Source organism: Homo sapiens, chromosome 4, assembly GCF_000001405.40.
Source record: "Homo sapiens chromosome 4, GRCh38.p14 Primary Assembly".
NCBI classification, from domain to species: domain Eukaryota; kingdom Metazoa; phylum Chordata; class Mammalia; order Primates; family Hominidae; genus Homo; species Homo sapiens.
Window position 1 is genome coordinate 15,729,092 of NC_000004.12, and position 15,154 is coordinate 15,744,245.

Below are 15,154 nucleotides of genomic sequence, written 5' to 3' on the forward strand. Positions count from 1 at the left end.
TTTTGCTAATTTAAAGTCATTTAAAATATTTTTTAAAAAAGATGTAATATTTTAATATTTAAGTTGAAAATAACCTGAAGCCTTGCCCAGTGGCTCATGCCTGTAACCGTAGCACTTTGGGAGTTCAGTGCGGGAGGATCACTTGAACCCAGGCATTCAAGACCAGCCTAGGCAACATGGCGAGACCCCGCCTCTACAAGCAAACAAACAAAAAATTGGCTGGGTATGTTGGTGTGCACCTATGGTCCCAGCTACTCAGGAGTCTGAGGCAGGAGGATTCTCTAAACCCGGGAAGGTCAATGCTTCAACGAGCTGTAGTCATGCCACTGCACTCCAGCCTGGGTGACAGAATGAGACCCTGTCTCAAAGAATAATAATAATAATAATAACTTAACCTGAAATAACTTGAGTTTAAAACATCACAGGAATTAAGTAAGTGTGACAAATCCTTAAGAGTTATTGTCAGAGTTCACCAGGTTTTTAAATAGAACAATGTGATTTATAAATTAAATAAAAGGGCATGGGAAAATTAGGCTTTTGAGTATATAAATGTAATAACAAGAATCAATTTTAAAAATCAAAGTAACTGCAAATAGTGCAGTTACCCCCTCAAGTATAGTCTCACATTGACAAGAAAAGGTTTTTAAGCTACAAAGTGAGAAACCAATGCACAGAACATGAACCGAGACATGTAAACCAGAAGAAAGCAAAACAGCATGTTTCTATTTGTGCATGATAATGGATGTAAGTGATAGAAATAGGTCTGAGAAAGTAAACTCCAAGCACCTAACTGTGGGTTCCTTCTAGGCAAAGGAATAGAAACTGGAAAAAGATGAAGGGAGGCTGTCATTATTAGTGTATCTAATTATGTGTTATTTTATTTTTTAAAAAAGTAAAGAAAAATGTAACCTTATGTTAATTAGTTAATTATTTGAAAGCAAAAGTAATTTTAAATTTTGAGTGAATCGAGTCTGGGACATTAACTGCATCACAGGTGCAATTGTAGAAAATGTCCGGTAGGTGGAGCACTAATACAAACCTGTGGGTCAGATTTCTTTAGCAAAAAAGAGAGGACCAGCATTCAAATGGAGTCAGGAACTTTTAAGGACAGGGCCACTAGTCCAGAGCCATGGGATATATTTCCAAGCCAACATTAGATGGTTTCATAATTTTAAAATTCATCTTTTAGTTGGTTTAAAAGAATTCAGTAATTTCTGTTTTTACAAACCCAGTGGCCAGATACTGTTTACTATGAATAGGGTCCATATTTTGGGCAGGCCCTCTGTTGATGTCTTCATGTCAGGACAGGTTTTTCTTCACCACTTAAACTCTGATCATGTAATAGCCATCAGTAGGAAACCTGGCTAACACTGTGTTCCATCCGTACAATAAGAATTCATCCACAAGGAAGAATGAGTTAACTCCCTGTGTACCAATATGGAAGCATGTTCAAAATATGATGTTAGGTGAAGAACGCACGTTGCAGATTCCATTTGTGCTTAGATAAAAGGATATCTAAAGACATCTAAGGATAATTTGCAGGGCAGCAGCAGGTCCTGTTGTCTAGAGAAGCTTTTTGCTCAGGAAAGAATGTCTTGAGATGGTATTTCAATGACGTGTGTGCTCAGGATTGCAGAAATAGGAATTAGTTATATTGAGCAGGTTCAGCATGCATGTGTTCATTGCATTCCTGGAAAGAGAACTCAAACTATCAAAGTTGGTTTTCTATGGAAAGTGCAAATGGGGAGACTAAGAGACTTTTACTTTCCACTTTATAACTTCCTATATACTATGTACATTTCTCCACAGTGTGCACAATTTGCTTTTTTTTTTTTTATACTGGTAGCAGTAGAATTTATTCAAATGTGCCTTAATATAGGCACTGGGGCTTGCCTATGGTGCTCTCGATATATAAGGCCCGGACATTCTGCCAGTTTTTCTGCCAGTTTTTCTTGAGCAATGTCACCAAGAAGTTGACAGGCAGGTGACTGTTACACACAAGCTCATTGTCTGTCCTTTTCACGTGGCCAACAGCCACAGCCAGACATAACACCTTCTTCATGTGGAAATTGATTACGGACTTCATCTCATCCACTTTGGCCACCATGTTTTCCTTGTGTGTGAGCAGGGAGGGGCAATTTCCTGCCTTATTTAGGACTGGGCCGAGGATTCGTGGGATCTGCTTGATCAGAGACTCTGAGGCCAAAAATGCATCATACTCTTGGCCAGTTTCTTGACCAGTTTCTTATTCTTGTTGAGTTTTTTCAGTACCTCGTTTTCCATGTGGTGGAAATCCACAGGCTTGGCCTTGTCACGGTGCTGCTGGTTACCCAGGACACACATGGAGAACTTGGGGCAGGGAGTGGACTTAAGCCTGACGGTGCCCGAGAAGCGCTTGTCCTTCTGGGGAGTCATAGTTCTTGAAGCTGATCTGCAACTCCACCATCTCCAGAAACTTGGGGTGCTTGCGCTGGTTTCGGTGCAGGACTTCGCGCACCGCCTCCTACGGGGTGTCACGGGAGACTTTGCTGCTCATGGCTTCTCGCTCCGCGCTAACCAGAAAAGAGACTAATACTGCACATATATTTTTGAGCGTAGATTCCATACACCAATACTGACACTTTCTCTATTTCCTTGTTAATTTGCAGGGCAGCAGCCGCTACTCAAAGAAAAGCCCCAAGTCTTTATACAGAACAAAGGGCGGGTCTTATCATTCCCCTCTTTCTGGTGCTGGCTTCCAGGACTCAACTGTAACTGGAAACTGTGTTGCTCTAACCCTCCTCCAGCCCTGCAGCCTCCCCTTGCAGTCATCATTCGTGTTCTGTGTATACCAAATGATTCTGTTATCTAAAGAAGCTTTTTGCTGGGAAAACGATGTCCTGAAAATGGTATTTCAATGAGGCATATGTTCAGGATTTCAGAAACAAGAAGTTAGTTCTATTTAGCAGGTTAAAAAATGCTGCATTAGAATTAAAGCAAGTTATTTTCTTATTTGTATAATGACACAAAGCATTGGGAGTCAGACTGCTTGTATATTATCAAACATTTTAAGAGAATTCTAATAAAGCTGTATTTTACATCATCTATATTTTCCTATATCTCCAGCAGCACGGACACTGCATGCTTGTTGATTGCTTAAGACATATGTATACTATATAAATGTATGCATATATGGTCTGCAAAGTTTTCATTTTTCATTTATTTGGTATAAAGATGTTCAGTTAATGGTTCCTTTTTGTTTTGAGAGACAGAGTTTCGCTCCTTTGCCCAGGCTGGAGTGAGGTGGGGAGATCTCAGCTCACTGCAACCTCTGCTTCCAGGATTCAAGCGATTCTCCTGCCTCAGCCTCCCAAGTAGCTGGGATTGCAGGTGCCTGCCACCATGTCCAGCTAATTTTTGTATTTTTAGTAGAGATGGGGTTTCACCATGTTGGCCAGGCTAGTCTCGAATTCCTGACCTCAGGTGATCCACCCACCTCAGCCTCCCAAAGTGCTAGGATTACAGGCGTGAGCCACCACATCCAGCCATAATAGTTACTTATAATGAGGGAAAAACCCAAAATATCCAGTAATATTTACATATTTACTGAAACTGTTTGGAACTTGTATTAGTTTGTTCTTGCATTGCTATAAAGAACTGCCCGAGACTGGGTAATTTACAAAAATAAAAATAAAAAAGAGGTTTAATTGACTCACAGTTCTGTGTCCAGAATTGTGACAAAATTGTGACAACCTCTGGGTTTTTGGTCTTGCTGACTTCAAGAATGAAGCCATGGACTTTTGCAGTGAGTGTTACAGCTCTTAAAGATGGTGTGTTCAGAGTTTGTTCCTTCAGATGTGTCTGGAGTTTCTTCCTTCTGGTGGGTTCGTGGTCTCGCTGACTTCAAGAATGAAGCTGCGGACCTTCGCGGCAAGTGTTACAGCTATTAAAGGTAGTGCGGACCCAAAGAGTGAGCAGCAGCAAGATTTATTGTGAAGAGCGAAAAAACAAAGCTTCCACAATGTGGAAGGGGACCCAAGCTGGTTGCCACTGCTGGCTCGGTGGCCAGCTTTTATTCCCTTATTTGGTCCCACCCACATCCTGCTGATTGGTCCATTTTACAGAGCGCTGATTGGTCCATTTTACAGAGTGCTGATTGATGCATTTACAATCCTTTAGCTAGACACAGAGTGCTGATTGGTGTGTTTACTATCCTTTAGCCGGACACAGAGTGCTGACTGGTGTGTTTTTACAGAGTGCTGACTGGTGCATTTACAATCCTTTAGCTAGACACAGAGTGCTGATTGGTGCGTTTACAATCCTTTAGCTGGACACAGAGTGCTGACTGGTGTGTTTTTACAGAGTGCTGACTGGTGCATTTACAATCCTTTAGCTAGACACAGAGTGCTGATCGGTGCATTTACAATCCTTTAGCTAGACAGAAAAGCTCTCCAAGTCCCCTCTCGACCTAGGAAGTCCAGCTGGCTTCACCTCTCTGTTCCACAGGCTTACAGGAAGCATGGCTGGGGAGGCCTCAGGAAACTTACGATCATCATGGAAGGCAAAAGGGAAGCAGTCATGTCTTACATGGCCAGAGAAGGAGGAAGGGAGTGAAGGGGGAGGTGCTACATGCTTTCAAACCACCAGATCTCGTGAGAACTCTGTCATGAGACAGCACTAGGTGATGGTGCTAAACCATCCGAAACCACCTCCGTGATCCAATCACCTCCCACCAGACCCCACCTTCAACACTGGGGATCACAATTCAATATGAAATTTAGGTGGGGATACAGAGCCAAACCATATCAGAACTATTTACATGGGTTTTAGAATATTTGTAGAATGGAGTATCATTCAACAAGTAAAAGCCATGTTTACCAATTCACATGTCCTTCAGATGGTGAAGGAATAAACTAACTGGTAAATCTACACCATGGAATACTACTCAGCAATAAAGGTAACTACCTTGATATATGCAGCAATATGGATGAAACCCAAATGTGAGAGCTGCCGCACCAAAAGGCCACCAACTGTATGATTCTATTTATATGACATCCTCGAGAAGGCAGAACTATAGTAGCGGAGAGCAGACCAGTGATTGTGGGGGTTGAGAATGATCAGGACTAGAAGGAGGCGCTGACTGCAAAGTGACACTGAGAAAAATTTTGGGAGCGATGGAGCTGCTCTGTGTCTTGATTGTGGTGGTGATTGCATGAATCCAAGTGTTCGTCAACACTCATGGCCCTGTACATGAAAAAGAGTAAATTTTATTTTATGTAAACCAAAAAGAAATGTTTTCAAAGAACATTTAATCACATAGGAAAATGTGTAAGAGATAAAATATAAAACTTAATTATATGATGAAAATGTCTAAAGTATGATACAAATTTAATATATTAAAATATAATATATATACGGGAAATCATTCTCAAAATTGTCTCCTCCACCAGTCGACTAAACTTAGGGGTTTACATAGCAGGAAGGAAATGTAACTATATGTGAGAAAACAGGAATGGGGGAGGGGTAAGGAAGAGAAGCTGCTAAACAGGAGTCATGATGGATGAAGGGTCTGGCATCTAATTGTGTGGATGTGGTGGTCTGGTGAGTTTCGGTTCCTTGATACTAACTGGTTGCCTAAGGGTCAGTTTCCTGAAGAAGGAATTCAGATAAGACAAATGTAAGTTTCAATCTTAGATGAGAGGGTCAATTTTCATGTTTATCCAAAAAACAGTAGACATCACTTCTCTGGGACAGCTGGGCTGGTTTCAGTCGGACACTGCCACAGGGAGCAGGCAGGAGCGGGAACCAGGCCACGCTCAGAAGGGTTAAGGAAAGAGACTTTGGGAAGTGAGACTGCAGAGGAATGAAATCCATGAAAACCTGGCATGGTAGAATGTTCATTTGGTGTAGACACTGGTGTGTATTGTAAAAGCGGTATTAGCTTCTTACAGAAGGTGTGCTCAGCTGGGCTCCTCTAACCAAGTTGCTTGGTGCTCTACCCAGACGTGCTCTCTACTCTCTCCCTCCTCAGGGTCTTTGAACATGTTGGTCTCTCTGTGTTGATTTTCCTTCCTGCCCTGTCTCCCATCTGGCAGACTCTAAGACATACCTTAAGCATCACCTCCTCCCTGGATCCTTCTGTTGACCTCTCTCCCTGCAAAAAAGCAAAGAATTCCCTAACAGGGCCCATCTTCATGGTGTCAGCATTGTTTGGGTCCTTGCCTAACTTCACCCTGGGACTGTGGCTTCTTTGCAGACTCACTCATCTTTGCAGCCCTAGCCTAGCCCTGCTTGGATGAAGTAGACCTTCCACGTGTGAATGAACTAAGTTTAATAGAGGAAAACAGAGGGTGGGGGATTCTTTAGCTTTCTTTTGTTGGAGGAGGCCAGGGAGGGTACAAGGGAAGCTTAATAACAAGGTGTGGCATGCTTTTCTGTATTTATGGCATACTTTCATAAAACACTTGAAGTGTGTGATATTGCTAGGGTGTGTGAGGGGAGCCGTGAGGGAAGATGACAAGCAGCATAAGACTTTTGGGTACTTAGAGAAAGAGAAAAGGACCCAACCAACCAACTTCCAATTCATAATTCATGGTTTGTCTCAGGACCGTCTGGCTCCTTAGGCCAATCCCATGGGAGCCCCAGCCAAGGGGCGTCTCTTAGACCAAGCTTGGAAAACACAGTGTCTGCTGCCTTCATGTTGCCTGGGTTACCAGGCGACTTAGCCACTCACAGCACAGTGACCTGCGACTCAATTAGAGAAATGCCATTTTGAGTTCCATAAGAAAAATAAGGCTTTATTTTTAAAAACTAAACATAACTTCACTTTTTTCCCGAATATAAGAGTAATAATGGCTCTTTACTTGAAAAAAATCTACACAATACAGAAAAATTAGGAAGAAGGCAAATCTCATCTGTCATACTGCACGCAGAGTAGCAGACATTTTTCTATGTGTTTTTATGCACATATTTATATTTATAGACCCAAGAGGCTATGTGGGACATTAGGAGTGCGACCCAGAGCAGAACCATACAACCGCCGGTTCTAGCCTTTGTACAAGGTAAATCATGGGTTTCAAACATATCATTGCCTCCTGACTGATCTCTCTGCTTCTGCTTGGTTTCTCCTTCAGCCTAACTTCCACAATGCTGCCAGAGCAATGTCCTACGCTAGGGTCCTGAGTGCATCGTCCTCTTGCTCAAAATCAGCAATGGTTTCCTACCCTTGGCAAGACAAATTTCAAATTTTAAAATCTGCTCTTCAAGAAGCCGGGCGCAGTGGCTCCTGCCTATAATTCCAGCACTTTGTGAGGCCAAGGTGGGCAGATCACTTGAGGTCAGGAGCCCTGGACAACATGGTGAAACCCTGTATGTACTAAAAATACAAAAATTAGCTGGGCGTGGTGGCACGTGCCTGTAATCCCAGGTACTCTGAAGGTTGAGGCAGGAGAACTGCTTGAACCAAGGACACAGAGGTTGCAGTGAGCCTAGATTGCTCCACTGCACTCCAGCCTGGGTGATAGAGTGAGACTCTGTCTCCAAAAAAAAAAAAAAATCTGCGATTCAAGATCTTTCCATTTGCCCCTAAACTGCCTTACTAGGTCTGTGTCCCAGGAGACCCCACTGCACTCTCCATGAACCTTCTCTCAGTTCCGTATTCTCAACATAAGCCTTTGGATCTGGTACCTTTGCTCACCTCCTCCTCGAAGCCTTACTTAGTTCCAGATCCATTTGTTTTTATGTCTCTCTCTCTTGAGGACAGCAACTTTACCTCTTTGTCTTTGTGTCTGTCATAATGCTTTACCCTGACCAGCCATGACCTAGTCAGCATTTGATCAGATTGGGTGAGAACCTTGGGTTTGGGGAATCAAGACAAAGGAAATGGGGAGGCAGCCTAACATTGTGGCCAAGAGCATGGACTCTGGCACCTAACAGGTTGGCCCACATCCTACCTTCAGCACTTGCTCGCTGTGTAGCCTTGGGCAACTCACTTACCTTACCTGAGCTGCATCACCGTGTGTGTAAGTAGGGATTATAAGTACTCATAATTCAATGAGCGAATGTGCATAAAGAACCCAGAACAGTGCCAGGAGTATAGTAGATCAGCCCTGTATAAGTGTTATTTGCTAGTGTTATTGTTACTACTACTAGAGTTGTTTGATAGCTGTCTAAACACCATCTGCAATACAGCACTCTCTGCAGATCAGAAGTTACTGTGCACTGGGCACTGTGTGAAGTATTTTCATAAATGGCCCCTTTCAATCCTCACTCGACCCCATAGGATCAATTCTCTTATTATCCTATTTTACAGATGAGAAAACATAGACATAGAAAGCTTTTCTTACTTGGCCAAGGTCACCTCTCTTGGCCTCGGTTCCTCCATGGTCTGGGCAGCAAGGGGGCAGCAGGGAGCCCTGGCAAAAGCAGCTAAGAAAACCAGCCTCGTGTGTCTTCAACAAACAGGTCCCAGCACCAGCTCCATGCCTGGCACACTTAATGGGTACTTAATGCTCTTCTACCAAGTGAATGAACAATGCTAAGCATTTGACCAAAAGAGAAATGCACATGGAAGACCCCTGAGCACAAGGACTGGGTGGGCACATGAAGAACTGAGTTCTCTTTCCTCTCCTGTCGTAGGTACCAGGTACCTTACACTTGGCTGTATTCCCTCTAGCACGATAGACTTGGTAACAAGGTACTTTCTGAACCTGAACAGGAAACTGTGGGAACCATGATGGGGAAGATACTGACTGTCAGAGAGTCCAAAGATGTAAATGCCTTCCACTCCCACAGCAAGGAAGCCGAAATCTCCAGAGGCTCTGGCAAGAGTTGAGTCAATTGCATGCCTGCCTAGTCCAGCTCCGTCCACATGAATGCTCTCCACAAGCTTCAGAGGAAACAGGATAAAATGGACTCCCAAATATTTAGGGTGGTGAAAATACTCTGCATGATACTAGAATTGTGGATACAGGTGATTATATATGTGTCCAAACCTACAGAAGGTACAACACCAAGGGTGAACCCTCAGGTAAACTACAGAGGCTGGGTGACCATGATGTTTCAATGTCGGTTCATTAGTTGTGACAAATGCACCACTCCACCACTCTGGTGGGGATGCTGCCAGTGGGGGAGGCTATGTATGTGTGGGGACAGAGCGTATGTGGGAAGCTCTGTACTTTCTGCTCAAATTTGCTGTGAACCTAAAACTGCTCTAAACATTAAAGCCTATTCAAAAAAATGAAAGCCTAATTTGAAAAGGAATTTCAGACACTTGGGAAAAAGAATAATGACGTCTATAAGTCATTCTTTGATAAGAGAGTCGGTCAGTCTGGTGTGTCTAGTAAGGTAGCAGAGGGACATTCACAAAGACCGGAGAATACAAAGATGTTAAACAGGGTGAGGAGTCTATGATGTTGGTCAGTATAAAAGGAGAAAAAGATCCTAAAAACATTCCTAAATATTGTTTGATTTAAAAATATATGTTGGAAGGCAAGAGAGTTTGATAAAAAAATAAAAATAAAAATAAAAAACCTTGATGGGAAGTGGGAATGACCACACGTTAGCCAGCTGATAGCTTACCTGTTTGAAGTTCAGCTTCCACACGATTGTTACAGACGGAACTGTGTTCCCTCAAATTCATAGTTCGTTATGGCCACCCTGGTAAGCTAACACAACAATGAAAATTTCCAAAGTAAAGACTAGAAGCAGGCATGTGCCAAGTGAACACTAGCTTTTTTTATTTCTCCTGCTGTGAAAATTGAGGTTTGCCAAAGGTGCCAAATGAACATGGCTGATTGAGAAGTAATCCCAGTTCCACTAACCTGAGAGACAGCCCAGGCAAGCGGACCTAGCTCCTAATGCTCATTTCCATTTCAGTCTTTCTGAAGTTTCCCAGGGTGAGAAAGTGGAACTCAGGACAATGAATCATCATTGGAGACTCTGCAGTTGCTAGAACTTAATTCACAGGCATTTGAAACCCAGAACTCAGCCTTACTCTTCTCAGGAGACTTTTGGCACCAAAGAGAAGGGCAAATTGAAAGCCCATGCTGGAGAACAGGGCACAGCTATTGCTGAGACTGGGAGCTTGTTTTTAAAGACCTGGCAAGGGTTTCAAACACCCACATGCATAACCAATGAAGCAGGTTGGAAAATCTGAACTATGCTAATTTCACCATAATTACTCATTACTTGAAGTCTTATGTATTTGTGTTTTCTTGGTAGTCTCTTTAAAACATGTTTCAATATGAAACGTATATGTATTAAATCACTCCGCTTAGAATTTTAGGAATATAGTTTTGTTTTTCCCCCTAAAAGATGTAGAATGCAGCAGGTTCTCTAAAGCACATGTATTCTTTGTTACGTGATTTGGTTCTTTGGAACTTCTTTTATCATGTAGCTATTAAAGGGTAGCTGTCAGAATTACCCAAACTCTTCACTGAAATGACTTACTTATTTGAGAAAAATGCATGTTAAGAAGCCAAACCGTGTGTGTGTGTGTGTGTGTGTGTGTGTGTGTGTGTGTGTATTTCTCCCCTGCACAAAAGTAGAAGGGTTTTCATTTGACTTGTGCCAGCTGCACCTTCATGACTTTGCTATAGGACATGTGACACAGTAACTCTAAGATGGTGCTTGTAAAATTTTAAAATAGTTAACATACAGTGACAAGCTCTCAGGGGAACACATTAAACTCGATTAAATTTTGTAGGGTAAAAAGATGTGTACAGAAATATAATCAGAGTGAAGTCATTGTTCACCATTGCTGCTAGTAATAAAATTTGGTGGTAGGAGGGGGAAGGAGAAAGGGAGGGAGGGAAGTCGGTGAGAGAGAGAAAAGGAGAGGGAGACATTGACAGAGAGAGAGACAGACAGACAGAGAAACAGAGAGAGACAGAGAAAGAGAGGGAAGAAGGGAGAGAGAGAGAGATAAGGATAGAGAGAGACAGGGAGAGAGTGTATCTCCTGATCCTCACTGGCTGATAACTAAATTAGTTGGGGGCAGGGGGGACTGAATCTCGTTCTGTCACCGAGGCTGGAGTGCAGTGGCACCGTCTCGTCTCACTGCAACGTCTGCCTCCCAGGTTCAAGTGATTCTCATGCCTCGGCCTCCCTAGCAGCTGGGACTACAGGCACACGCCACTATGCCTGGCTAATTTTTTGTATTCTTTTTGCTAGAGACGGGGTTTTGCCATGTTGACCAGGCTGGTCTCAAACTTCTAACCACAGTGATCTGCCCGCCTTGGGTTCCCAAAGTGCTAGGATTATAGGCATGAGCCACCATGTCGGGCCTAAATTAGTAGTTATTATCTACTTTCATTTGTGGGATGAAGATGAAACAGAGTCCTTTGGGATTGTGCACTGGGGGAAACCTAACATAGTCTAGTATCGGGAGAGGAGGCTTTCCAGAGAAAGTCTTCCTTAAGTTGAACCTGAAAAAACGAGAGCTATTAGCCAGATGAGAGGTGAAGGTGTGAGGGGGTGGATTGGAAATATTTTCAGGTAGGGAGACTAATCTATACAAAGGTTTATGTTCTCAACTACTGAGTTTGTCTTCAGCATTTGCACCTTATTTAACAAATTTATTAATTTGTTAAATTATAACAAATATTTGACAGCAGAGCTGAGGATATTAAAATAAAATGTAATTTTATTTCTTATATGTTGGTGAAGAAGGAGCAGCAACAGAGGCTGGAGCATTATTTACAAGCCAAACTATCCGTCTGGAGATTCCCAGTGCAGCAACTGGGACGGGGACTACTGAATCCCTCAGATTTTAGGCCATAGGCCAATGAACATTTTCTGTAAAAGGTGAAGTAATACTTTTAGCTTTGCTGGCCATGCAACCTCTGTCGCAACTACTCAACTCCGTGGTTCGTGAGGGGTCCACAGGGTTCATTATCCGTCATGAACCGCAGAGTTGAGTAGTTGTGACAGAGGTTGCATATATTTACTCAGCCAATATTTACTGATGATATTGATTAGGAGTCTTGGGAAGAGCAGTGACAGTTTTTTTGGTATTATATCTAGCGACAAAAGATTGAATTTGGCCGTTACTCACTCCTCCTCCAACAAAGTTGTCAAACGGGGCTGCTACAGACAAGTAGAATCACAGATTGGAGATCAGCTGTCATTATGTAACAGCTGGATTGGCAGGCTTCCCTCTAGGGGCCATCCCTGTCTACAGCTAGAGTGGACAGGCCAGGGAGGACACCATACTTGGAGTAGAGTAACCTTGTCCAGGAGTAAAACATGGCCCGAGAATTCTGTGCTCCTAGCAATCCTATTATTATAGAAGTGCTTCCTGATAAGGGAGGAAGGGTAGGAAGAGGAAAGCTGAGGCAGATGGATGGGGAAAGTACTGAAACATTCTGTTCACATCCTCAATAACCTTCATGAAAAATCAGTCATAGATGCTGGAATCTCCAAACCTCCAAGGGGCTTACAACATTGTGTGCAGGGAAACCTCTAATTCACAGCCTTATTGAGAGCATGTGTCAATGGCCCATAGCAGGGGCCCATTCTGGCTTTTGTACAACCCCAAAGACACACGTGGGTTTTCCATTTTTAAATGGTTGAAAAAAATCAAAAGAAGAACATTATTTCATGGCGTCTGAAAACTACATGAAGCTCAAATTTTAGTGTATAAAGTTTTACTGGAACTCAGCCATGCTCATTAGTTTGTGCTTATCTATTCCGCTTCTGAGCTATTGCAGAGTTGAGCAGTGGCAACAGAGGTTGCATGGCCCGCAAAGCGAAAAGTATTATCTCACCTTTTACAGTAAATGTTCATTGGCTTATGGCCTAAAGTCTGAGGGATTCAGTAGTCCCTGTCCCAGTTGCTGCTCTGGGAATCTCCAGATGCATAATATGGTTGGTGCATAACGCCCCGGTCTCTGTTGCTGCTGCCTCCTTCACCAACATACAGTACAAACAAATAAAACTCCATTTTATTTTAACATGCTCAGCTCTGCTGCCAAAGCTGTGACAAGCCCAGAAGCAGTTTTTCAGGGTTTGAGATGGAGAAGAAGGTGGTCTCTTCTCTTGCTCATCAAGGAATCCTCTTTATTATTTAAGCCAGATTAAGTTTGCTATGGTTTGAATGTTTGTCCCTCCAAACTTCATGCTGAGATTTGATCCTCAATGTGGCAATGTTCAGAGGTGGGGTCTACTGGGAGGTGTTTGGGTCATGGGGGTCAACCCCTCATGAATTAATTACTGTGCTCCCTTGGGGATGGGTGTGTGAGTTCTCACTGTCTTAGTTCCCTTGAGAGCTGGCTGTTAAAAAGAGCCTGGCACCTGTCTCCCTCCCTCCTTGGCTTCCCCTACTGCCATGTGATCTCTTTGCATACTTTGGCTCCCCTTCCACTTCCACCATGAGTCGAAGCAGCCTGAGGCCCTCACCAGATACAGATGCCTAATCTTGAACTTTCCAGCCACCAGAATTTTAAGCCAAATAAACCTCTTTTCTTTATAAACTGCTCAGGCTCAGGTATTCTGTTACAGCAACACTAAATAGACAAAGACAAAGTTGTTGACTGACTTTGAATTTCTTTAGAAGCAGACCTGTGACAGAGGATAAGTCCAGGGAGTTCATTTGGGAGGTAATAAACTACCTGAAGGTACAGGAAACACTGATGAAGAAGTGGGAATTGAGTTAGGGATGGCAGGAAGCCAATACAGTGTTATCAGGCTGTTATCACTGAAGGAAACTGGGGTTGAAGCCTGCTGGGGAACTAAGGCATACAGTGCAGAATGCACCTCGAACTGATTGTATCTGAGACAGAAGGAGGTTGAGATATTTATCTACTTGTCAGTCATGGGTTCAGGACTGCTCCCAGGAGGACATTGGGCCTGCCCTGAGATGGCAACTGGCACCAGCTGCAGCAGAGATGGGATGGAAAGAAAACAAATTAATATGAAGTTTCAGATGAGCCACTTATTTACAAGGAGGACAGTTTTGAAATTAATTTTTCCTTATACTTTAAGGTACAGTGAAAGGATGCATAAACAGACCTTTTTGAAGTATGTGAAAATCATGAACCCACTTTCAGTTTGTTGCACCAACTTCCACAAATTACAATGTCAGAGGAAACATCAAAATTCCCTTGCATAATTTTACATTTAAAATAAAATTCAGACACCAAGATGGTAACCCCCATGGATCTTCACAGAGCTTCAAGACAAAGTTTTTGACACTCAACAGAAGGTGAAGCTTACAGACATACCGACCAAACAGCTAAACAGAACAAAAAAGCATGCACATCTTACAGATGCAGAGATCATGACTTCGGTGGATGAGACTAATCTGTATGAAGCTGTAGGATATATGTATGAAGATGAAGAATGTTTATTCTTCAATCCAAGGAGGCAGTTCACAATAAACTGTTAGAAAGTCAGAAAATAGCAGAAGAAAAAAAAATTAAAGAACTAAAACAGAAAAAAATCCTACCTAGAGCAGAATGTTAAGGAAGCTGAGGGCAACATCTGGGAGATGCTGATGGCACAAAGGGCCCAGCTGGGAGCCTCTGCGGGAAGCTCTTCCTCCTGCCCCTCCTATTTCTGGCAAGGGCAGAGTGGTCTGTGCAGGGAAACAGTCTGTCTTCTGCCCTAATGGATGTTTTATCTGGATGGCCTAGCAATCTCACATGTTGAGCCCCTCTTGTATCCCAACTCTGAGATTTTTACCCTGGCTTTGCCTCCCCTGCTCAGGACACTCTTTTCTGTTGGTGTGAGTCATGAGCTCCCAGGAAAGGGAAGATGGGAGCCAGGACTGATAGGAGGCTCTGTCTGAGCCTTCCATTAGGGACGCTGGTCAGACCAGTAAACAGCATCTGTCCCACTCTGCTACATCTGCCTTTCTTGAGCCAAGGGATGGGAATGGAGGGTGAGAGAGGCAGTGGCTATCTCCATCACAGCTCCTGCTCCCTCTGCATTAGAGTCTTTCTTTCCTTGGGGGATGGGATCTTGTCCTCTTATCTTTTCCTTTTCTGGACATTTGACTAATCCCTTCACCTTCTGGGCCTCTGTGTAGTATACAGATGAGGAAGAAAGAAGACTTACACCGAAAGCTGAATTTAAGTGAAAAGAATAGTGGTTCCTTTATGGCAGTCTGCCTACAGATTCCTTTCCCTGCTTTCTCCCATACCTTCTGTATTAGTCCATTGGCACACTGCTATAA

At 43.1% G+C, this 15,154-nt stretch overlaps 1 protein-coding gene and 2 pseudogenes across 7 annotated transcripts in view; 2 read left to right on the top strand and 1 right to left on the bottom strand.

The window, feature by feature from the left end:
• BST1 (bone marrow stromal cell antigen 1) overlaps window positions 1–15,154 on the top strand; it is a 71,109-nt gene that overhangs the window by 26,027 nt on the left and 29,928 nt on the right. For 2 of the 7 annotated variants that reach the window (NM_004334.3, XM_011513881.3), the window contains exon 9: window positions 2,649–3,696. The exons of 2 other annotated variants lie outside the window; for them this stretch is intronic. In NM_004334.3, the coding sequence (NP_004325.2) occupies window positions 2,649–2,754 (106 nt within the window). In that variant the 3' untranslated portion in view covers window positions 2,755–3,696. Of the gene's footprint in view, window positions 1–2,648; window positions 3,697–6,961; window positions 7,041–8,616; window positions 8,669–8,695; window positions 10,408–15,154 lie in introns of those variants that run through there. 3 more of the 7 variants (XM_017008565.3, XM_005248186.3, XM_011513879.3) reach the window with 3 other exon arrangements.
• On the bottom strand, window positions 1,839–2,570 carry RPL10AP7 (ribosomal protein L10a pseudogene 7; annotated as a pseudogene).
• On the top strand, window positions 14,141–14,491 carry PFDN1P2 (PFDN1 pseudogene 2; annotated as a pseudogene).